General features: G+C 33.4%; 1 protein-coding gene across 4 annotated transcripts in view; it reads left to right on the top strand.

Annotated features, from left to right (window-relative positions):
- The window catches only part of SLC6A15 (solute carrier family 6 member 15), a 53309-nt gene extending 28479 nt beyond the window's left edge, over positions 1-24830 (top strand). For 2 of the 4 annotated variants that reach the window (NM_001146335.3, NM_182767.6), the window contains 8 exons: positions 281-462; positions 7714-7824; positions 10993-11234; positions 11527-11719; positions 13651-13843; positions 17128-17287; positions 20720-20882; positions 22315-24830. In NM_001146335.3, coding sequence (NP_001139807.1) covers positions 281-462; positions 7714-7824; positions 10993-11234; positions 11527-11719; positions 13651-13843; positions 17128-17287; positions 20720-20882; positions 22315-22689 — 1619 coding nt within the window. In that variant the 3' untranslated portion in view covers positions 22690-24830. Of the gene's footprint in view, positions 1-280; positions 3474-7713; positions 7825-10992; positions 11235-11526; positions 11720-13650; positions 13844-16248; positions 17092-17127; positions 17288-20719; positions 20883-22314 lie in introns of those variants that run through there. The other 2 variants (XM_011538525.4, NM_018057.7) reach the window with 2 other exon arrangements.
- The last annotated feature ends 1188 nt before the right edge of the window (positions 24831-26018 follow it).

The following is a 26018-nucleotide window of genomic DNA, read 5'->3' as shown; positions in this document are numbered from 1 at the left end:
AATAAAAATAAAATAAAATAAAAATAAATAAATAAAAATTACTTTGATAAGAGGTTCACATATTCTTACTGCAGGACTGCATAAGAAATATTTAACAGGATACATTTCTGTTTGTTGCACAGTTGAATTTTTATTGTTCATTGTGAATTTACATGCTGCTATACAATGGTAGTACTTTTCTAGGAAGCATTAAGAATTCACTTACAGGTTTATTGGAAAAGAAATTGTCGCATTGCTCTTTATATTCTGAAATAATTGTGTGTTACTTTTCTTTCTACAGTTGTAGAACCAGAATGTGAACAAAGTTCTGCCACCACCTATTACTGGTACAGGGAAGCACTGAATATTTCAAGTTCCATTTCTGAAAGTGGGGGCTTAAACTGGAAGATGACCATCTGCTTGTTGGCTGCCTGGGTCATGGTTTGCTTGGCTATGATCAAAGGCATTCAGTCTTCTGGAAAAGTTAGTATGTTAGAGCCCTTCCTCATTCTGCTAATCACCATTTCTGGATTCATCCCTCTCTCAAATTCTGTTACAGATTTCTGTGGGCAAATCACACATAACACTTCATTCTAGGTAGTTAAATATTAGTGAAAAGTGACACTTCAAAAGTGTGCTTACATTTTTAAAAAGACAAATAAAAACAGTGTTTTATAGTGAAATCTAAGGTTAATTATAATCTTTCCTTATTTCAACAAGATCTTTAAAATTTTTGTGAATACTTAAAAGTCCTTTCTTTTTGCCCTTTATTCAATTAGTCCTAATGTTTCAGTTCTCTAATTACCAATTAGTTAAATTATGGAAATTGGGGAAAGTGGTAAAATGAGTAATTCATTCATTTTGTTTGTTTGATATCATTTGTTTCTCTCTGCTGTAGGTGTTCTAAGGAATAGCTGCATAAGACATTTTGAAATAATGTAATGTGAAGTGTTTCTTAAAGCTCTGAACATCATTAAGTAGTTAATAATAATTCCAACAAGGAATTCAGAGTAATGTAAAAGACTAAATATCATTCCTTCTAAGGCAAATTGAAAATTAGAATGGTTGTGGTTTAAAAAGACATTAAGTGAATTCTAGGTAGCTTGTTTGTTATTATTTTTAAAGGACGCTCTAGGAAAGTAATTGCTATTCACTATTTTGCTTTCGTATTACTTTTTTTTTTTTTTTTTCATTATCACAGCCATTGTTCTAAAGCTCTCCACATCTCTTGGCTGGATCATAGCAAGAATTTACTGTTGGCTCTTCTCTCTGCCGTTTAACTGTCCAGCTGTGCTATTTTCCTTTTCAAAGTATAACTGATTTCAGGCTAACTTATTACCACTCATCATCATATACTAGCAGGAATGGCAATAGTAGTAGTAGTAGCAGCAGCAATAGTAGAAGTAGTCATAATAACAATAATAATAAATGATGATAAAGATGTTTCTGACAAGAATTAGGGTAAGAACAGTAATTGAAGCCAATTATTTATTACAAATGTATTTTGCTTTGGGTACTGTGATAACTACTTTTTATACTTTATCCCATTTAATTATAAAAACCACTCTTGAGAAGTAATTTTTATTTTCAGAACCATTTTACAGATTTAAAATAAACAGGTTTGAGGAATTAGTTTAACTTATCCAAAGTTTCGTGGCTATTAAGTTCTAGTATTTGGAGTCAAATGCAAGTCTGTCTAAATCTAGAGCCCATGTTCTTTAACTGCAACACTATAATGTCTCACCCCGTCCTAGTCCCACCAATTAGTCAACTCTTTTAGGGCAGAAGTCTGTCTAATTCATCTTTGCTTCCTGTTACTTTATATTTAATTAAAAATTTTAGTGACTTTTTAACTTGTAAATTGTAGCTGATTTTACATTTATCTTCCTGAAGGAAACTCTGTATCATTTTGTCTTTTGAATTTGTGAATATACTTGTTAACACATCTAAATATCTTTAAGTCTTTGGCAATGTTATTGTATTATATGACTAAATAACTTCGAATTGTTCAATTGTGTATGTCTTCCACTATGTCAGAGCCACATTCCCGTCACATTATAAATGAAGGAGTGGATTCTTAAATAAGACCTAACCATATTTATATGATTCCTAACATAATATCATTTGGTAGAAAGAAAACCAACTGTGGTCATCCAGAGAAGCTCAAAAACTCTTGTACTCAGGTTCTCTTACTACCACGTTTTGTTTCTGTTTCTTCTTAGTCTGTGTCTTAGCATCACTTAAAGAACTATTCATCCTTTTCTTATCACAGAATCTTGGGGTTGTTCTTCTCATGTCATGTAGTGTAAATTTATATAGAAAATGTAATACAATTTATTTAGTACATACATTTATTATTTTAATGAGAATGCCTCAGGAAAAGACTAGTATTTGGGCAATATTTGAAGAAAGAATTTAACAGGCACTGATGGGGAGAAAGCTAGCTGTAGGTAATGTGAGCAAAGATGTGGAAGCCAAAATTGTCACAATTCCTCAATCTGAAACAATGAGTTAAATATAATAACAATGACTTTATGAGGAATTAAAGGTTAAGCTTTGTGTTTACCTACTAAACAGAAAATGCCTCCAAATAAACAGTGTCACAAGTACAGAAGAGAGAAATATTGTTTAAGGCTAGCACATGGAAAAACAACTTAGAGGATTTAGCAGCTAAAAGAAGAATGAGTCAGCTGGTGATGTGCTTGGTCAAAACACACAGTCATACATGCATATACATATACCCCAAAATGCTAAGTGGAAACTGCATGAATTAAAAGAGGGGTATGATAGGGACATTGTCCTTTGGGCTAGGTAGGCACATATCAGTTGGACCACATCTGCAATACTGGATTTTACTGAAATCTTGTATTTTCCTTTTTATTATGAGAAATTTCAGCTCAGTGATCAAAGTCTTCAAATAGTTAAACCAAAAGAAGAATAGGGCTGCTTTGTGTGGCCATAGAGAGCAAAACTATGATCAAATAGTGGGTATTATGGAGGAGGTTGTGATGGTGGTAAGCCTTCAAAGAAAGAAAGGCCTTTCAAGAATCAAACTTGATAATAATGAAATCAGTTGCCTCAATGGTAGAGAGCTCAGCATCACTGGAGGTGGTCACACAGAGGTAGCATGTGCCCTAGTTACAGAATCTATTAAGGGGATGACTGTCTCAAATATGTAGGACAGAAATGAGAAGCCCCAAGCTTGCTTTTAACTCTAAGGTAGTATTTTCTACTCTGACTACTTTCCTGTTGTTACTACTACTATGCTAAATACTATGCATACATTATCTTGTTTATTCTTTCTATCAGCTAGATAATTTGCATATTTTATCCCCATTTTACTGCAAAGTTGACAAGCTCAGGGAAAATAAATAGTTGGCCAGAATTAAGCAACCAATACATGATAGACAGGGCTAAAACTGGGCTACAGAATTTTCAAAAAGAATGATACATTCTGAAGGTATGTTTATAATAAACATTTTTCATATGTAAAACAATGGTTTTTGTTTTCGATTTTTTAAACACTTTAGTAAAATGAAAATGTTTTATACAATCTTTTGAAAGATAAAATAGTCTCTCTTACTAACGTACTTGCTTTGACAGGCATAATAGTTGTCAAGGCCCGGGGGAGGGGTCTTAAAAATCAGTCAAAGGAGCATGTTTCTTTGTATCATTTCCCAGTTTTAAAAATGTATACTTCTTGGACAATGTGTAATAATCATTCACCCATTCATTATTATTTTGAGCAAATATTTATTAAGCACTTACTATGTTCTAGACACTGATCTAGTTTTGGAAATACAACTAACAAGGTAAACAATGTGCCTGTCCTCATGGAGTTTCCATTTAGTGGCAGAGGCAGCAAACAATAAACAAATTTATAAAATAACTTCAAGTTATAAGACGTAACGCATGGAGAGAAGAAAGTGGTTGGTATAAATACAGTGAATAGGTTGAATTTAACTCATTTTAATAATATTATGCAAGTGGCTGTTTTGGTCTAATAAGATTAGAGCCATATGAGTGAATGCAAATAATTTGTGTTTATAAATGACACAGATATTTAAGTAACCTGCTGACTCCTAAGACACATCTTTTTAAATCATGGAATTTAAAAATGAAATATTTTGTCCTCTTACCTGCTCACAGAGGAATAAAATTGATGTGTTGCCTTCTTAATATCACTTAAATGTTTGAAATATTGACTTATTTTTCTCCATCTTGTAGGCTTGAAATGTTCTTGTAACTTATTAGGAAACTGTGTTAGAGTCTTACTGAATCCAGATCAGTGTCCTTAAGAATTTAAATGTTTGTTGAATTAATAAATGAAAATTGAAATGTCTGGACATATAATTAGAATATAATTTTCAAAATACTGCAGAATAACCATAAGCTTGCAATTTTAGGAATTGTGTGCAGGAAGAAAAACTCAAATTCCTGTAAATCCTCTCTCAATGAACAATATATTTGAATATCTGCTATTTGTCAGGCACTGATGGATATGCAAAGAGTAATAGGCCACAGTCTGTCCTCATGGAACCCACAATTCAATGAATGAATTGTGTACAAGAAGAAAAACTTAAATTCCTATAAGTTTTATCTTAATGTGCAATATGTTTTAGTATTATATTATTGTACAACCATATTGCAACATATTGTAATGATGATTAGAACATACTAAGTGGAGTAACAGAAGCACATACAAAGTGTGTGATAGTGGCCAGGCGGTGGCTCACGCCTGTAATCCCAGCACTTTTGGAGGCCGAGGCGGGTGGATTGCCTGAGCTCACAAGTTTGAGACCAGCCTGGGCAAAACGGTGAAACTCCGTCTCTACTAAAATACAAAAAATTGTCCGGGCATGGTGGCAGGTGCCTGTAATCCCAGCTACTCGGGAGGCTGAGGCAAAATAATCACTTGAACCCGGGAAGCAGTGGTTGCAGTGAGCCGAGATTGCACCACGGCACTCCACCCTGGGCGACAGAGTGAGACTCGGTCTCCAAAAAAAAAGAAAGTGTGTGATAGTGTAGAGTCAGCAATTGCAATTAAACTGGATTTGCAAGAAGGCTTCACGGGGGATGTAAATTTTGGAGTAGGGTTCGATGGTTGAAGAGAAGTTCACCAGCAAGTTCACAGAGAACTGTGTGTAGGCACAGACAACAGCATGTACAAAGCTCAACGACTGCTGAGTATTTCTGTGTGACTTTTGCATACAACTTGTGCAGCTTGTGGAAGACGAAGGATGATATGCAAGTTGACTGATGATATTGGAGGCTCTGTGGACTCTTGTAAAATGATGGGCTGTTAGCTAGCAAACAGTGTGGAACCTTTGAGGATTTTTAATAGTTCAGTGATAGCACCAGATTTCTAGAAAGATCGCTCTGGCAACTGTGAAAAATGGATTTCTGGGATGCAGAGGAAAGCTAACAGAATCTGGAGGCAAGATGAGCAGGAAACTGTTTTCATACTGAAAGGTGTTGTGCTATTGAGAGGTGAAGCAAAGGGACAGATGTGAGATTTCTGTGGTAGAATTAGCTGGGTGTGGTGATCAGTTGGTTTATGGGATTTGAGGAAGTGGGACATACTAAGGGTAGATTAGAGTATTTTAGCCTCGAATAATATGAGTACAGGAAGAATCTTTTCTTAGTACCTAATTAGAAATTATATTAAAAATATAAAGATAAAATATAAAATTAAAACAAAATTAAAAAGCATATTTTATTAGATAAAATCATAATCAGTCTATCTAGACTTTATAATGTATAATCTTCATTTTCACTTTTATATAAGCAGAATTAATGGAAGTCAATTATATTATTTATAAAGCAGTACATTTGAGTTTTGTTTAAAAACATAAAAAGAAGCTATTGTTCAAAAGTGAATCCATGCTTCTGGCTAGCCACAACATTTCTGAAGAAGAATCATAAAGGGGATTACTTTAATTCAAGTGAGATCAAGGCAACTGCCAAATTTAATGAATGCCAAAAGTACGCAGGGAGAATGAAAAAATCCATCCGAAAGCATTCTGATTTTTTAAAAAATCAAAAAATTTGAGTGAAGGATTAATCAAAGGATTAAACCAATTTGAAATTATTAAAAAATTATGTTCATTACAACCAATTAAGTTAAAATATAATTTATTTTTAAAATATTGTGTTCTAAAGTATGCTGGCATTTTATCCATATTTTTTCCTTAAGGTGTGCCATGTGTTTATATATGATTCTTAAGTGGGTAAAACTAGAGAGTGCCCCTTATTGTGTTGCCTTATATTAATGTTGTTTGTAGTTATTATTGAATTCAGTATCTTTTACCTGCCCGGAAGCATCATCTGCTATGGCACTTTTTCCTCCATTGTTCCAATTCTCCTTCCATTCCTTCCTTCCACAGATACATATGATAGAGTTACTATGTCAGCAACTGTGTTAGGTGTGTGAGATATGGTAGTAAACAGAAAATATCTTTACCCTTACTAGCTTATACCCTGTTAGAGGATACAAAAAATAAACACAGAAACACATAAATAAAATTTGAAAAGTGCTAAGTGCTCTAAACAACAACAACAACAAACCTAGGGTAATATCACTGAGGGTTGGCAGGGGGCAGATGGGAGAGAAAGGATAGAAAAAGGCATCACCTTATTTTGGGTGGTCAGGGAAGACCTCAGGGAGAAGATGAAGATGAGACTAAAATAGTAAGGAGGAGCAAGTCATCTGCAAATAAGGAAGAGGTGCTTCTGAAGGAAGGTGCCGCCCTGCATCTTAAGGCTGGCTGAGCTTGGTAGACTCACAGGATAGCAAGGGCCTGAGTGGCCAGAGCTCCATGGGAAGAGTGGTGGCCAGGCAAGCAGGCACTCTAGGGTAAGACTTTGCAGGCCAGAGGGTGGAATCAGCACTTCACTCCAACGACATTAGAAATTCCTGGAGTGTTTTAAGCAGGGTATGACATAAACCAAGGGGCAGCCAGCAATTCAGTTAGGAGAATATTATGGATAGTCCAGAACCATTTCTAGATGTTTGGCTTTACTAATGGGATGGAGGGTGGGGCCATTTTCTGAAATAGAGATGGGTGGGAATAGCTTTGAGGGAAATTCAGAAGTTTCCCTCTGGACCTGAAATATTTTAGAGACCTATTAGGCCTCCAGAGGAAGATGTCAAGGAGGCAGTGAATGTCTGAGTAGCACACTTCCTTTTCTATTATAAATATTTGCTGAACTGTTTAACAGTGAAAATTGCTGAAGCGGAAAGTAAAATCTTTACACGTTTGATTGTTTGGGTTCTGGAAGATACAGCATAGGAACAATACTGCATTGAAAGCTTTACAGAATCACAATGAAAATTTGGTTAAAAGAAAAAGAAATAGGACTTTATTTTGCTACTTAGAACAACAACAAAAAAGTAGGAATTCATTAGGTAGTTAGTGCCTGTTCATTTCTGTCTTAAATATTTCTTGTTTTATGAACTATAAGGAATCAACACTATTGAAGCTACACCATAGCTGATGGATTTTTTCAAAGGAGATAGTGTGTTTTAAATGTAAATTGTATCTCAAATAAAATCTTAAGGCTGAATCACGACTCATAAACCATTCTTAAAAAATGGCTTTAGAAGTTATTAATAGTTTTATTAATCCTGTCATGAAACAGTGACTGTCAAAGTACAGAAACTAACATATAAAATCTTATCTATAAAAAAATGGTCATTGTATCTCACTTATTTTTATTTTTATTTCTTTGCAGATCATATATTTTAGTTCTCTGTTTCCATATGTGGTACTTATTTGCTTCCTCATCAGAGCATTCCTTTTAAATGGTTCAATTGATGGCATTCGCCACATGTTTACCCCTAAGGTATGTACCATATTTCTATTTAAGGCTTATGATCATGAAAGCATTATGTTTATTGTTAAAATATTCTAAGTTATATTTAAGGAATAATTGTTCTAATGTATGTACATTAAACTTTTAAATTATAGTTGTTAACCAGTCTAGGAAAAACCAGCATTTTTTATGTATAATTATAGCCATTTATCTCCATTTTTTATATCCCATTTTGATTTTAGAGTAAGGCTACCACTATTTCAACTTCAAAAATCTCTCTTTTATAATAAATTTATTTCTAAGTTTTATACTGATTAGACTTCAGAATTTTTCAGTCTTCCTTAACTCTTTCCCCTTTATTTTAGTGGTTTTTAACCTTTTTGTGTCATGGATCCCTTTGAAAAAGTGACGAGGATTTTTTTTCCCAAAAAAAAAAATGAACATATTAATTTGCTTAGTGTATCTGGAAGTTGACTGATCATCTAGAATCCATGGACCCTAAAATAAGATTAAGAGCCCTAAAATACTCTCTCAGAGAAAATAAGTGTTTTCTTTTCTTAGTTAATTTTTTTGAGGTTTTGTAGTTTTGTAGCTTCTGGAAGAATATTTATAGTAATCAGCTTGTGAAGTTCTGTAACTTCTATAGATGCATATATATTTTAGGAAAATTCTCATTAGACTCCATCAAGGGCTCAGAACTTATAATCCATCATGCAACTTTGTAGAGCTAAACTCAACGGTGGGCCCACTTAACCTGGTTAATCATAAGTGTGGGCTTAATCATAATTTCTTATACTGCTTTAACAGGGACCACGTTTTTGATTCTCATATATATATATATATATATATATATATATATATATATATATATATATATGGTGCACCCCACTATTAGTTTGCTAATACTATCATAGGCAGACATTAAGATGAAACTGTCTAAAGATACGATTTCAAAATTAGTTTAGAAATTAAAAGTTATCTGAAGGATGAATGTGCAGGCAGCATTGTGCTGTGAGATTTGGGCATAAGGGATTAGCTTCTCTGGAATTCTTTGTCACTCCTGGCGGCTGCCTTGATACTGCGTAAAAGAAGCTGTGTTCTTTGTGTGTGTGGTTCTGAGTTGGTATTCATTCTGTAGTAGCAAAAATGCTGACACTGGTGTCTGGTTTTCTCAGCTACTTCAAAATTCCTGTTTAACATTTAGAGTTCTTGGAACTTCTCTGTGAACAACTAGTTAAGATTTACGAGTTTCAGCCACACTATAATTTAAATCTGCTACAAATGGGCCACACTTAATGACCAAAAATACTTATATGTATAATATTGAAGAAAATGTTTTCTGAGTTCAAGACAACCAAAATTCTGTGTGAATTTCTAGAATATATTCTCTTTCTAAACTGACAATTGCTTGTGACAAAATTCTAAACATTTGATTTAGCTAGATATTTTAGAATTTAAATGCTTATATGTAATAATTCTATATGGCCCCAGTACTGAAAACTGCAGCATGAATTAACATTTCTGACCTAGACTAGGGATCACTATTAAAATGTTAGTTTTCCTTCAGCTAACTTTTCATTGAGTGTTGATAAGACTCTATTACATTTCTGTAGGATGTGATACTCAATATGAGAAGTAATTGTAATTTTTAAAAATTTTACATTGTTTATGTAGGGGAGAAAGTACATAAGCACATCAAATACTTGTGAAACAGTGAGTGGAGATTTAGTTCAGAAACTGGGCTGCTGGTAATGTCTTTAGTTAATAGGTCTTTTCTGCCATCTAGTGGCTAAAGCAGAGATAGACAGTTGAGTGTATTTTAATAGAATATGATGTAGCAATGGTCAGTAAACAATGTGCATATGTTAATTGTTCATAAATTATGAAGATAATCATGATTATGTTTAATAAGCATATTTCATAGATTTTAATAACCAAAATTAGTTGAAGCAATACATCCTATTGTTTGAGAGAATATGGATTTTGGAATCTACCTATGTTCTTATTTCATCTCTACCTCAGAGCTGCTGTGTAAACTTAGGCAAGTTACATAACCTTCCTAAGAATCAGTTAATAGTGGCAACAACTTCGTGGGTTGTTGTGAGTACTAAATGAGTTAAACCATATAAAATGCTTACCGGTGTGTATGCCGCTATAGCTCATCTATGTTATCGGTTACTGAGCATTTTTAGAGTGTGGTAGGCACCGTGGTAAGTGGTACACTTCTTATTATTCTGATCTTTCTGAAGAAGCTGAAACTCAGAGAGGACACGCCATTTGCCATTGTTTGCACTATTTTAAAATTACTAAATGGCAGAATCAGAATCTGAAACTCTCTGTAGAATTCGTGTTCTTAGTCATGTTTGACATTGCTCTCAATAAAGGCAATTTGATTGTAATGGCAAAAAGAGATAAAATGCCAATTTAAACGCTATTATTACTGAAATCAAAAGGAACTGTTTATTAAGATCTGGGCCACACTTGGCTGATCTGAATTGTTTCATTTAAGTTTTGATTATATACAGTGATAATTATCTAAGACATAAAGCACAACTACATGAAATATCTGTTCAATATTTAATATCTGTTCAATGTCAGAACTTTGGATCTGAAAGAGTATCTTATAGACAATATAGGTGAATTTCTTCAATTTTCAAAGAAAAATCTTTTAGCAGACTTTTGAATGAATGAAGAATACATATGTGAATATGCAAAGTACAAATAGTTCAACTCTGCGAAGTTTATAATTGTTTTCTGCTTCGACCATTAGATTAACAGCAGAAAACACAAAACATGGAGTGTTAGTGAAGCAACTATTAACTTTTATTGGTAATTGACCTGTTTTGCTATGGAAAGAAAAAAAGACATAATGGGAAATGATTGAGGATAATTAATTTTTCTTCATATTCTCATTTCATATTTCCTTTGATATTCTTAAAATATTTAAAAACCACCATGTAAGTAGAAAATCCCCATGTACTTAAAATCTCCATGTAAAGGACTGATCAACTTTCTTACTCATAATTATTTGTTTCCTAAAAATAGATGTTTATGCTTAAGAACATATTATTTCCCGATTTAAATAAACTTTGGATGCATAAATATCATTGTATACTCCATAAACAGTAAATTCCATAAAAATTAATTATTCTGAAACATTATTTTGTAGCTGATTCTATTATGTTTATTTTTAAACAGCTTGAAATAATGCTGGAGCCCAAGGTCTGGAGAGAAGCTGCTACTCAAGTGTTCTTTGCCTTAGGTCTGGGATTTGGTGGTGTCATTGCCTTTTCAAGCTACAACAAGAGAGACAACAACTGCCACTTTGATGCTGTCCTGGTGTCCTTCATCAATTTTTTCACTTCTGTCCTGGCAACATTGGTGGTGTTTGCAGTTCTGGGCTTCAAAGCAAATGTCATAAATGAGAAATGCATTACACAGTATGAATATTAATTTCCATTTGCCTTTTTTCTTAGTTTTTATCTTGTTATTTATACTTTTATTGATACATGATAGCTATACATATTTATGAGATACATGTGATAGTTCGACACAAACATACAATGTATAATGGTCAAATCTGGGTAAATGGGATAGTCATCACCTCAAACATTAATCATTTCTTTGTGTTGGGAACATTGCTCATTCATTAGCTTATAATGGCATAGTCGTTCACAAACTATACACCAAAGAACTCTTATGTGCTCATTTGTATGTTGTTTTATTTTTCAGAAATTCAGAGACGATCATGAAATTTTTGAAAATGGGGAACATTAGTCAGGATATTATTCCCCATCATATCAACCTTTCAACTGTTACTGCAGAAGATTATCATTTAGTTTATGACATCATTCAAAAAGTGAAAGAAGAAGAGTTTCCTGCTCTTCATCTCAATTCCTGTAAAATTGAAGAAGAGCTAAATAAAGTTAGTAAGCCATGTTTGAGCAATAAAATAATTATCATTCACTTGAAATATGCATTATCCAGCAGACTCCCTTCAGGAAAAGGGCCTTAAAATGCCCGAAGAAGCTCTTAAAATGCCCGGAGAAGCTCCTGGGCATTATAAGTCCTTCAGAATTTACATTCTTAATTTTAGAGAATATGTTTTCTTAAATGGTAAAGATTTGCTTTATTTTAAAAAGTTATTTCATTGATTGAGCCACAATAATTTAAAATATGAATATAAAGTGATTTTCATCATAGAATGATGATTAGTCTGAAATCTTTCTTGCTATAATTTTCAATACAGAATTAGAATTATGGCTCTCATTTACACATACATGATTGCTTTGATGCATGAATAATATTTAAAATAGAAATTTTAATAGTTGTGTTCCACAAGTCATGATCAAGTTCTTTTTTTTTTTTTTGAGCCGTAGTCTCTCTCTGTCGCCCAGGCCGGGGTGCAGTGGTGCGATCTTGGCTCACTGCATCCTCTGCTTCCCAGGTTCAAGCAATTCTCCTGGTCAGCCTCCCAAGTAGCTGGGATTACAGGCACATACCACCACACCTGGCTAATTTTTGTAATTTTAGTAGAGACGGGAGAAGGCGGTTCACCATTTTGGCCAGGCTGGTCTCGAACACTTGACCTCATGATCTGCCCGCCTTGGCCTCCCAAAGTGCTGTGATTACAGGCCTCAGCCACCGTGCCCAACCGATGAAGTTCTTTTTCTTAGCTATGTTGTATTAAATAAGAAATAGGTCACCATTAATAAATGTCCTTATATTGGCTGCCACTGTCTCCTGTATGTCGAAAAGGAAAATATAATGGAGAAATTAGTCACTAATTATTTGCTTTAAGATAGTTAACTGTACTTGAGACTAACATAAAGAATCATGTGTGGATATTATTCATTAAAAAGTAAAGCCATCATTAATATAAAAACCTTGAATTCCTTAAGGAAATATTTAATTAATTACTAATGTACCGTTCAAAGTTTTTTTTTTTAATTCTCATCTGTCTTTATGAGACAACACAACTTGAAGTTTGGTTATAGGTACAGTTAGTTAGACAAAGTAAGTTGTTATTTTACAACTCAATATTTGTGATATTTATAAAATAAACTCACATTAATATTTGCAAGTAATTCAATTTCTTTCTGCCCAATTGGAGTATCTGTCTTTTTATTCATTTTGTTATTAGTTTTGACTGGAAATTCATTGTGTCTTCTGAATTATGCAAACCAGTATATCAGCCCAACTTTTTTTTTTTTTTTAATCAGGGAGGTAGGAATATCAGAAGTAAAAAAAGGTAAAGATGTAGGTTTTTTAAATTAAAAATTGGCTTTTTATAATCTACTTATTCTGTTCACATCCTTTTATTTTGCATTTGCAGTTTTCTCTTAAATCAAAACAAGTTTATTATTCATAGTGTATATGTATATATATATATAACAACAATTGATTGAGCCACTTTGAGGTAAGGTAAAACCAAATTTTTAAAATCTTTATATATGAGCCAGAAATAGTTGTATATATATATTTGTATTTATATATCTATGATAATATGTCACTATTCATATTCATAAGCTTTAACAAAACCAAAAATATTATGTATTCTTTAATATAGTTTTTCATTCTAGGAGCCTTGTGAAATAGTTAGTATATACAACACAATCGTGTACTCTGTTTATTAATTATAGGCAAAATTTCATTATTTGGATCTGCTTGATCTAATTAAATCCAGGTTCTGAGAATGACAACATGATTTATCAGGTTAAGAGCTGATTTGAGCATGTCTATTTCCAGCAGTCCTGGCCATTATTCAGAGATCTTTCCTCCTCATTGTAACTGACATATAGAGCCATTGTTTAATAATTACTCTGTACTAATGTTGCTATTTTGTGTATTTTGCAGGCTGTTCAGGGGACCGGCTTAGCTTTTATTGCCTTTACAGAAGCGATGACACATTTTCCTGCATCTCCCTTCTGGTCAGTGATGTTTTTCCTCATGCTGGTCAATCTAGGCCTTGGCAGTATGTTTGGAACCATTGAAGGGATTGTCACGCCTATTGTGGACACTTTCAAAGTGAGGAAAGAAATTCTTACTGGTGAGTTTTTTGTATTTGACTTTTCATTGAACAAATCCAGGCCATTTTATTCTTGGTGAAAGATTAGAGATGAAAAGTGGAAAGTCTTATATTTTGAGTTTTATTAATGTCTATTATCACTATTTATTATTGTATACATTGTATAATTTATTTTATTTTATTTTAATTGTATAATTTTTATTGTATGTATAATATAATATGGATGTTTTAATATAAATTATATTTTATCATTTATAATAAATATTTATTGTTATAATTCATTAATAGTAATGCATTATCAAGAATGACTGACACTAGAATAAAGTCATGGACTGTTTGTGTATAATTTTTATACAAGTCAAATAATCATAATTAGAGCAGTTCAGATGTGATATTCCTATCCAAAAAGTGCATAGCTGAAAATGATAAACCTAAATCCCGTTCTCATATACAGCAGCAGTAGTAATTTACTAGTAGTTAATGTCTCCAAGTAGAGAAGAAAATAAAACAATTTATCAATATGGATGGTAGTTAATAGGTCCAATTTACAAGTGATTATTAAAGTACCAGTTTAATGCATCATACTCCCATTTAAGGGCTATAAAGGATATAAAATAAATTATAAGAGATATACAAATATATAAAAAACTCTTCTCCAAAAACAATAACACTAAAATTAAAATCAGATTGCATAGATAAGACTTACAGCATGTAAAATACTGATAGCATAATGGATTTTACATATAAGAATTCAAAAGAGTCTAGGTCATCTAAATATACGATGGAACTGTCAGAGAAAGAGATGAAAGTTGAATTGGAAAGAGGAAGGATCTTCTCAAGGGTCAGAGGATAGCTAGTAAACATACATAAATGAAGATAAAGGCAACAATAAGAAAGCCAACCATACTAGAGTACAGAAACAATACTGGTAAGTGATGTAAAATAAGATTGGATACAAATTTTGTAGAGATGACCATGAATGCTGGGCAGTGGTGTGCAATTCCCCAAGGCTTTTTTTTTTTTTTTTTTTTTTTGAGACGGAGTCTTGCTCTGTCGCCCAGGCTGGAGTGCAGCAGTAGTGCGATCTCAGCTCACTGCAAGCTCCGCCTCCCGGGTTCACGCCATTCTCCTGCCTCAGCCTCCCGAGTAGCTGGGACTACAGGCGCGTGCCAACACGCTTGGCTAATTTTTTGTATTTTTTTTAATAGAGACGGGGTTTCACCGTGTTAGCCAGGATGGTCTCAATCTCCTGACCTCGTGATCCGCCCGCCTTGGCCTCCCAAAGTGCTAGGATTACAGGCGTGAGCCACCGTGCCCAGCTCTTTCTTAGCCATAAAAAATTTACTAATAATATATGTCTAAATAAGTCTCAAATATATACCTTTATCATTTGCTGCTCTGATAATTATGTCTGTATGTGTTTGTGCATGTGCATGTGTGTGCGTGTATAAAACAATTTAATTTCAGCAGTCTGTTAATATTGATAGCTATATATCCACAATTCAGCTGAACAGAAATGAGAAACTGCTTTATATTATTCAAGAAAGTGATTTCCACTTAATATGAAAATCCATATCCTGCCTGACATGCAGGCTAAAGTCATTTTTGTATTCTTATCCTTGCTCGCCATATCCAAACCGTCCCCTCCTGTAGTAAAAGGCTTGCAGGTTAAGGAAAAAGTAACAGTGTAAAGGGAAAATCACACAAAGTAGTATTTTCTAAGACCTTCTGGAAGACTTATTTGGAAAGAGCAAAGGGGAATGTACCCTCTTTCCCACTTCTTGTTTTTTGGGATCATACTGATACTTCAAATCGTAGTCGTGTTTGACCTCAATGAAATATTACCTCATTTTCTTTGGTAGGTGTGTTTACTTCTTTATGCAGTAAGATTTAGGCAAATGAATTACTCATTATCTTTTTCCCTCACATCTCCAGCAAAACTCTTACTGTCTGTACCACTTATAATGCACTTTTTTATATTTGCCTCATACTGGGGTGTAATTAGGAGATAGTGAAAGTGACACAGGCTGTTGAGGCAGACAGATTTGGGTGCAGATCCAAACTCTGCTACTTCCAGCTTGAGAATTTAAGCACATTACTTAACGTTCTTCAGGATCATTTCTCTCATCTGTAAACAAAGTAATACATTGTTCAACTGGGATGTCATAAAAATTAAGTAAGAGAATGCAATATTATTTTATACTGTGATAAGCATTTAAATTTAATATGCAGTAGAATCCAAGTAAATGTTACTTTTCTTATTCTACATTATATGTTTACATATGACATTCATTTCTGTAAGATGTAACTCACAGCACTAGTATAGTACTTAAGAGATGGAGGTAATTTCTTCATGTCACACATACTTGCTGAAATTGTTAGGGAGTGTTCATATGATTGACTCCGTGGATGTCTTTTTTCCTTAGCTGCCATTACTACTCTACTTCTTTCAAGTTTACTCACCTCTGCCGAAATGTGGTTGAGAAATGGAATGCAGTCATCTTTTACCTTTGGAGGCTTCTCTGCTAATGAGCACAAAAGAACAGAGTCTAACAAAAATATGGGAATATTATATGAATTTCAAAAACTTTTCTAAGTAGTAGCTGGTCAGAAATTTATGCATCTGTTTCTTAGCTATTACTGGGGAAACTCTTTTTAGATGATTTTTCTTAGATGTTATGTGGATGATCAGATTGCTCAACTCCATTATAATTTGTTTCCAAACTAATCTGTTCAGGCAAGATAAAGATATAAATGTGGATTGTTGCTGAGGTTAAGTCTGGTCAGATTTTTCCACTTATGCTTGAAAAGTAACCATATTTCAATCAAATATATAATATGTATATTTCATAATAATATAAGCAATATTAGTCTCATTATTAATTCAAAAATCTCATCTATATTTCAACACTGTAGAACATTATTAAATGAATAAATGACCTATAAATATTTGGTGCCTGAAGAAGTCACTTTGCTATTAATTATACGAATAGAGTATGGAAATTTATACTTTTAAATTTTTCTCTAAACTTTGACTCATTTATTATTGTACTTGGTAAATGAGTTTCCACGGGCTCAGGGAGATGAATTACTGTCTTAGAATAAATTTGTATGAATGTTGAGGCTACACCCAGGTAACCTAATTCCTAATAGGTTATATGCCATGTATCAGGAAAGGTATTGCCTGTTTATATGATGGACATGTTATAAAAGTTTTAAAAGTTTGAATATAATAATTTATAATAAAGTTTAAAGGCCTTGTCTCTGAATAGAGTCTCATTTTTTCATTTATTTCTTTTGTCTAGTTATCTGTTGTCTTCTGGCATTTTGTATTGGCCTGATATTTGTGCAACGCTCTGGAAATTACTTTGTTACAATGTTTGATGATTATTCTGCTACACTGCCTCTGCTAATTGTAGTCATTTTGGAGAATATTGCTGTATGCTTTGTTTATGGCATAGATAAGTAAGTATATTTGCTTTTATGTATTCACTTTTAATCTCTAGTTTGAAAACATCAATTATCAATGTTCATTTCATTTAGAAGAGGAAATAAATGAATAGAGGGAACAATTCTTTAAAAAATCAAACCTTTTGCAGGCTCTCACTGATTCAACAGTTTTGGTAAATTACATTTCCCTGTTGGGCAAATAGAATTATATAGGATGTAATAGTATGTAGAATTTTAGATCTTTGATTTGGTCCTGGTTATCAAATAGCTAACTTTCAGGATTTAGTAAGTATTGGCAGAGTTCCAAGAACCTTAGTTTCTTTTGAGTTCTTTATTGTTATCTACATTTCACAGATAAGGAAAATCAAGCTTAGAGAGACACCCTGTGACTTGCCTGTCACCCACCTGGACAGCAGCAGACCTGGGACTCATGTCCATTTCTGTTTAACTCTAAAGCTTATCTCCTAATTATATTGCTAAATTGATTTATAAGAGGAGTGCATGTGTCATAATGCCTTATATAGCAGGACAATATTGGGAAATGATATTTTCCCAGGTCTGAGATGTATATGTCATTTGCTGCACAGAAACATTATTTTTATATAGAGTCATTACTTAAATTCACTATACGCATAAATAATGAATAAATTCACTATTTATTCATAAATTCATATCAAATACACATACTTTTCACACCATTCAGGTACACTGATGTGAAAAGTGTATGTATTTGAAATGATGTGAAGCACCAGAGTTCTCTCAAGGGAAAAAGACCTTTGGAGGATTTGTCCAATACTTTTTATAGTCACTGTCTCTAATCACATACATGGACTGAGAGGTAGTAAGATCACCAAGCTCATTACAGCCCTATGTAAAGTAGTAATGCATGCACCTTAAGTGAAGGCCAGAGTCCTTTTAAGCAGCATAAAGAATATTGTGGGTATTGAATGAGCTTTATAACAAAGCTTAGAGAATGTTTTTTGTGGTTGCCAAAAGCTCCAGGTCAGGAAGCTTAGGAGAACTTACATTTAATAATCATGTACTGTATAATAATAGTAGTAATAGCTCTTAGTGTATAATCCAGCAATCATGCTACTTGGTATTTACCCAAAGGAGTTGAAAACTTATGCCCACTTAAAATTCTGCACGTGGGTGTTTATAGCAACTATATTCATAATTGCCCAAACTTGGAGGCAAACAAGATATCCTTTAGTAGGTAAATGGATAAATTGTCATACATCCAGACAATGAAATATTATTCAATCCATGAAAAGACACAGAGGAAATTTTAATGCACATTACTTAGTGAAAAAAGTCACATATGAAAAGGTTACATATTGTAAGATTCCCCTATATTATAATATGGAAAAGGTAAAACTATGGAAACAGTAAAAACATCAGCAGTTAACAGGGGTTGGGCCAGATCCAGGGATGTATACGCTGAGCACAGAATGTTTAGGGCAGTGAAACTACTCTGTATGACACTGTAATGGTGGACACACGTCATTATACATTTGTCCAAATCCAGAGAATGTACTACACAAACAGTGAATTCCAGTGTAAACTGTGGGCTCTAGGTAATAATGATGTGTTAACTTATGTAGGTTCATCAATTGTAACCAACATTCCACTCTCGTGGGGGTTGCTGATAATGGAGGAGGTTATGCACATATATTGGTAGGAGCTATATGGGAAATCTCTCTACTTTCAGCTCAATTTTGCTGTGAACCTAAAATTGCTCTTAAAAAATAAAGTGTGTAATCAAAAAATACTCCTTGTTAACTAACATGATCCATATCTTACAGATGGGAAACTGCCCCTTCTTTTACAGGAGGATACAATATGTTAGCTGTAGAGCCAGTACTGTAACCTTGACCTTCATTTCAAGGCCAGGTTTCTCTAAGCTTTACTAGGCTACTCAAAACTCATAACCTGTACCATGATGGAATTTGATATTGTTTTTGGACTGATCTGTAAATAAATACATTTGTAATTTAGATTTCCATTTAGACAGTTCGTTATTCATGATAGACTTACTAAAGAATCTCTCTTTTTAATGCTAGTGTTCCTGAATAACACTATTTATAACAACAGAAGAAAAAATACTACTACTAATAGATGCATCTGTCGATTTTGTACCATATGTGAGGTAGTATGCTAAGCATCCATTGTTTATGGTTCTAGTAATAACCCTCAAAGGTGGGTATTATATTATATTTTTGGAAAACACCAAAAATGAAGCTTAGAGAGATTAAGATATACATCAAAAGAACACAGAACTGTGATCTGAAATGAGGTCTCTTGGTCTTCAAAGTTCATATTTTTTCTAAAGGGCAGGTGTAGAATTCTTACATTGAAGATGTCCTTTAAGATTCTGGAGCAACTTGGAAGAAATGAAAAAGGGAAGAGAAACATAGAGATTAAGACTGGGCCAGGTGTGGTGGCTCAAGCCTGTAATCCCAACACTTTGGGAGGTCAAGGTGGGCAGATCACTTGAGGTCAGGAGATCGAGAGCAGTCTGACCAACATGGTGAAACGCCATCTCTACTAAAAATACAAAAATCAGCCGGGCGTGATGGTGGTCGCCTGTAATCCCAGCTACTCGGGAGGCTGAGGCAGGAGAATTGCTTGAACCTGGGAAGATGAGGTTGCAGTGAGTCGAGATTGTGCCACTGTACTCCAGCCTGGGCAACAGGTGAGACTCTGTCTCAAAAAAAAAAAAAAAAAAGAAAGAAAGAATGGACTCAAGAGACATAACAATTCATAACAATTAGTTATTATATGTAGACCTTTTTAGAAATTCGGAATGTAAAAAGAAGAGTTCAGAAAATATAACATTGATTAGGTATATTTGATGATATTAAGGAATTATTATTATGCTTTTAATGCTGTGATATTAAGGAATTATTACTTTTACTAATTATTACTAAAGTAATAGTAAAATTATTAGGAAAAGTAGTAATTAGTAAAATTATTTACTAATAAGTAATTATTACTAAAAGTAATAATTCCTTGATAGAATAGTATTAATAGCATAGTAATAATTCCTTAATATATAATTACTTAATATTTCTTAATAATATTTAAGCAGTAATTACTAAAAGAAATAATTTCTAAATAATTCCTTTTTGTAATTATTACTTGTATTACTAAAAAAGAGACAAGAAATTTTTAATATACTGAAAATATTTTGTTTATAGAATAGAAAGTTATCAGTAGAAGGAGAAATCAGTAATTGGCTTAAGAGAGCTTTCCCTAAATAAAAATTATAGTACTTACCTGGCTTCATTTTACTTTATAGTCATCTTCCAAGAGGAACTTTGATACAGTATAAAATGTCATAGGGTATCAATGGTAAATGTTTGTCAGACCATTAATATAATGCACATTTTTTAAGGTTTAGCAATATTAAATTAAGGAATAATTAAATACTTTCTTTTTATTCAGGTTTATGGAAGACCTAAAAGATATGCTGGGCTTTGCTCCCAGCAGATATTACTACTATATGTGGAAATATATTTCTCCTCTAATGCTATTATCATTGCTAATAGCTAGTGTTGTGAATATGGGATTAAGTCCTCCTGGCTATAACGCATGGATTGAAGATAAGGTAAATACAAAATAAGGGAATTACATTTTTAAAAGATATATAAAAAGCTTTTTTAGAGGGCTTTTTCTTTTGTCTCCATCACAGTATTTTTTGCTGTTTAATGAATGGCATAGCTTTTATGCAAGGATATGAGATTTACGTTTGTGCTCTGCCCCGAGCATATGTGATTTTTTAAATACATTGTGGATGTTTTCAACACATGTGAAGCACTAACCTTGTCCTTATTAAAGCAGATATATCCATCTTAACACTGATGAACCAATAATTATTGGGCCTTTGACTCTAGAAAACATATTAATCAAAACTCTAGAAATATTTTAATATATGAATTTATGAAGTTGTATCCCAGGCCAGGTGCAGTGACTCATACCTATAATCCCAACACTTTTGGAGGCCAAGGCAAAAGCATCACTTGAGGCCAGCAGCTTGAGAGCAGCCTGTGCAACACAGAGAATCCCTGTCTCTACAAAAGATGAAAAAAATTAGCTGGGCATGGTAGCACACGGCTATAGTCCTAGCTACTCGTCAGGCTGAGGCTGAAGGATAGCTTGAGCCTAGGAGTTGAAGGTTAAAGTGAGTTATGATTACCACTGCACTCCAGCCTGTGTGACAAAGCAAGTCACTATCAATCACTCAATCAATCAATAAACAAATAAATAAATAAAAATTGTATCCCAGATTCTATGTAATGATGAAAAATATATATTAGCAAAGTACAATTTAAAATAAGTAAATTTTGAAGTAAAGTTCTGTTATAATTTTTATATTAGCAATAACTATTTCAATTTCTATTCTCAAGCTGAATAATAATGAAATCATTAGGTATATGTCAGCTGTTATAAAATAAAAGTGCTTATTTTCAGAGATACTTCTGACCTTTAACTATCCTATGGTTAATAATTCTAGACTGAGGCATAAACAAATCCGTTCTCTCACCAAAACCCTTGGGGCCAGATGTGCTTCAAAAGTTTGGTTTCCAGATTTTAGAAAGATATATGACACATTTAAGAGGTATCTATTGCTTAGTAACAAACTACCCTGAAATTTAATGGCTAAGAGCGACATTGATTTATTATTTCTTACAGTTCTGTGGCTGAGCTGAGCAGTTCTTCTTCTTTTCTTGCCTGGGCTAACTCAAGCAGTTGCATTCAGCTTGGAGGAGAGCTGGGCTCTCTCTTTAGGTGGTCTTTCACTTATAACGTTTCCAAGCATCATATTCAGGGCAATATTCTAAGAAAGAAGCAGAAATTGGAAGGCCTTTGAGGCCTAGTCTTGGAAGTTGCTGAGTGTCACTTCTACTGCTTTCTATTGGTCAAAGCAAGTCACAAAGCCAGCCCAGATTCTTTGCTTACAAACTTGAAGCAAGTACAATATTTTATGTATGTGCAAAGAAAGATAGATTACTAATAATTATTATTTTCTTCTTTAACAGGCATCTGAAGAATTTCTGAGCTATCCAACATGGGGACTGGTTGTTTGTGTCTCTCTGGTTGTCTTTGCAATACTCCCAGTCCCTGTAGTTTTCATTGTTCGTCGCTTCAACCTTATAGATGATAGTTCTGGTAATTTAGCATCTGTGACCTATAAGAGAGGAAGGGTCCTGAAAGAGCCTGTGAACTTAGAGGGCGATGATACAAGCCTCATTCACGGAAAAATACCGAGCGAGATGCCATCTCCAAATTTTGGTAAAAATATTTATCGAAAACAGAGTGGATCCCCAACTCTGGATACTGCTCCCAATGGACGGTATGGAATAGGGTACTTGATGGCAGATATTATGCCAGATATGCCAGAATCTGATTTGTAGCTGGGGGAAAAGTCAGTGGGTTTTATTTGGTTCATTTTTACCAATGAACATTGGCCCTAGTAGGAGAAGCATTAGGCTTCACTTATCAGAGGGCAATCTCAGGTGTTCCGTGGCTGTGATCTTTAATCCTAACAGTATATGTCAGTTCAACTTGAGCATTCTTTTGGATTCTTTGGTTTACATTTGTGCAGAAAGGATTGCAGACAAATCTTAGGAGGGCTGAGGTACATGTTTGCCAGGATTTTTTTTTAAGTACCTTTGGTGTATTTTCAAATATTTCTATCTCTTAAAAAAATGGTATTACCTCAGTTTCTAATAATTTCTGGGTTTAGTAGTGTTGACAATTAAAAATGGTATACATTAAAATTTATAAGTTTGCCTTCAGGGTAACTTCCAGTGTCACAATGAGCAGTTCTGTAAGTGGGTGCCTCTCAGCACATTTCTATGAATATATTATGTAGATAGGCTGTATTGATTTTGGTAGCATTGACACCTTCTTAGGCAATTAGTTGAAGAAAACTGCAAAATATTTTCTTATGTAATAGCTGTATAGAGCAATAGCAATCAAAGCATGAGAAGGCACTAACGCTGGGATGAAAGATGAGATTCAGAGGTGACTGAGAATCATGTGAGTGATGGCTGTATATTTTGTGTAAAATATATGTGTGAAAATGAACTAAGAGTGAGTTACTCAGCACTCTCAAGAATTATGCAGATTCTGCATTTTTCTTATGCCGTGTGCCTAAAAACCTACTTGATATTTATTGTGGTTTCAAGATTATTCATAGTATATTTATACAATATACTTGCAATGCATTTAAGTACTTAAAGTACTAATTTGAAAACTTGAAGCAAGATGGCATTTTAATTAATATATTTCTGTTTTGCTTCTGTTTTATGCAAATATAAATCATTTTTAAGTGATTGTTAAAATTGTAATGCATTACATTTTAATCTACAAATAAACAAAGTTTAAAAATGATGTTTGTTTTTCACATTGATTTTCTTTGTATCACCTGAACTGGATTGTCTTTCATTTCAGTCAGCACTTAGACATTTCATAATAACTAAACATCACATTCCAAGTGGGATGAATTACATTAATTGAATAGAGTTACCACCGCTTCAGAGTCTAAGGAAAAATAGAGTATTATGGTTCAATGGTGTTCTTATGTAGTCTTATGATTCTTGAAAAAGTACTTACAGCCTCCCAAGAAACCATGTGTACAATTGACTGCTTGCTGATTCAATATTGTCTGCAAAGTATAAAAGACTATGATTTTTAAATAAAACTGTTGTATATATGAAATTGGATAGAGCAGAGGAACCTCACTGAGTGTCCTCTAGTTAAAAATCTTTCATTTATCCTACCACCAGATCAGTTACATTTTTAAAACAATGATGGATATAGCAGCAAAATAAGTGAGGTAATACACATGCCATATCAATTGATTTATTTCAGCCAGTATTCTCGCTCTGCTATAGATAGATGTTAATAAATGGTATCACAGCATTTAAAGTATTAAATCCACTGGTGCATAAATTTTTAGTCTTTTAAAATATATTCATGAATATTGTGTTTGTATCCCTTTAAAATGTTTAATATTTTATAAATAGGCAGTATATGCACATTATACAAAACTAAAAAATTATGACAATTCAGTGTGAAGTAAGTTCTCATCCAACATTTCTCCTGGCCATCCATTCTCCATCTTTAAAGGCAATCACCATTGCCAGTTTCTTCTGTATCCTTCTGGAAATACAATATATTACATAAATGACAGCATTCTATATTCTCTCTTCTATATCTTACCTATTTCTGTGAATAATTTATTTTGGACAGCATTTTATGTATGAATATTCACAAATGTGCTTCCTTATTTCAGAGGCTGAACTAATAAAAATTTTGTTTATTTTTGTGTTGAGGCAATATTTTTATATGGTACCCTAATCTTTAATACTTAACCTGCCAGACTTTAACCGTAACACAATAATGTATTGCCAAATAGCACCATTCTTCTTCTCTCACTCTCTTGCCATGGGGGCTCTTAAAAAAAAAAGTATACATCTAAGGTGTACAACATGCTGTTTTGATGTATATAAATATAGTGAAAGCAAATAAAGTATATATCTAAGGTGTACAATATGCTGTTTTGATATACATAAACATAGTTGCAGTGATTAACTTGTCCATCATCTCCCATAGTTACATTTTCTGGTGGCAAGTGCACCTAAAATGTATTCTTTTAGCAATTTTTTCAATATTCAATGCAATATTATTAACTATTATTTTCATGTTTTACATGAGACCTCTAGAGTTATTCATTCTATGTAACTTTGAATCTTTTGACCTACTTCTCCCCATTTTCACCTTCTTCCCGCTCCTGGTAATCAACTGTTCTACTCTCTGTTTCCATATACTTGATTTTTTTTTTTTTTTTTTTTTTACATTTCTACATATAAGTGAGGTCATGCTATATTTCTTTCTCTGTCTGGCTTACTTCACTTAGCATAATGTCCTCCAAGTTTATCCATGCTTTCACAAATGGTATAATATTCCATTGTGTATATATGTCACAATTTCTTTATTCATTCTTCCATTGCTTGACACTTAAATTGTTTCCATATCTTGGCTATTATGAATAATGCTGCAATGCACGTGGGAGCACAGATCTTTCTATGAAGTGCTGATTTCATTTCCTTTTGATATAATCTACAGTCGGGTACCTGCCTTGCACTAGGAATTATTTCTCCATCCTTCTATTCACTGAGTAATATGAACAATGCAGGAATCTTATTTTTGAATTGAAATAGAATTTAAAACCCTTATTATGGTTTCACTTGGCAGATAAGGAAATCTGGCCAAAGAAGTTAAAGAAAAATGAACAAAGTTCTCTTCTTTTTGCTTCCTTCATGCAGTCAGTTCTTCAGCTGTACACTTATTTATTGATTTATTCACTCAGGTTCTATTAACTAAAATTCTAACTTATTCTAAGTACTTTATACAAGACACCATTATAATTAGAGTATAAATGCTATTCATTTTTTTTTCCATTTTCTCTTCTTTGCCAGTGAGACCTGCTACCTGCCTTTCCCCAGGAAATGTAAGAGTTAATCAACAAATGGTGGTTTGAAATAGCCTTCTCTATACTGTAAAATTTGAGGCTTTCAAATTTGTATTACTTTCCACTACTTCTATAAACCCTGGCCTAAAGTTGCACCTCCAAGTGATGTAGCCAAGATTTGTCTGTCTTCAAACAGAAAGGAGACTAGGGACTGTGACGGGAGGGATAATAAAGTGGAATAAAAGGATGAGGGGGTGGAGCAAG

Source organism: Homo sapiens, chromosome 12 (genome assembly GCF_000001405.40).
Source record: "Homo sapiens chromosome 12, GRCh38.p14 Primary Assembly".
Classification (NCBI taxonomy): domain Eukaryota; kingdom Metazoa; phylum Chordata; class Mammalia; order Primates; family Hominidae; genus Homo; species Homo sapiens.
Note: the sequence above shows the minus strand (reverse complement) of the source record. Positions and strands in the feature narration are given on the sequence as shown.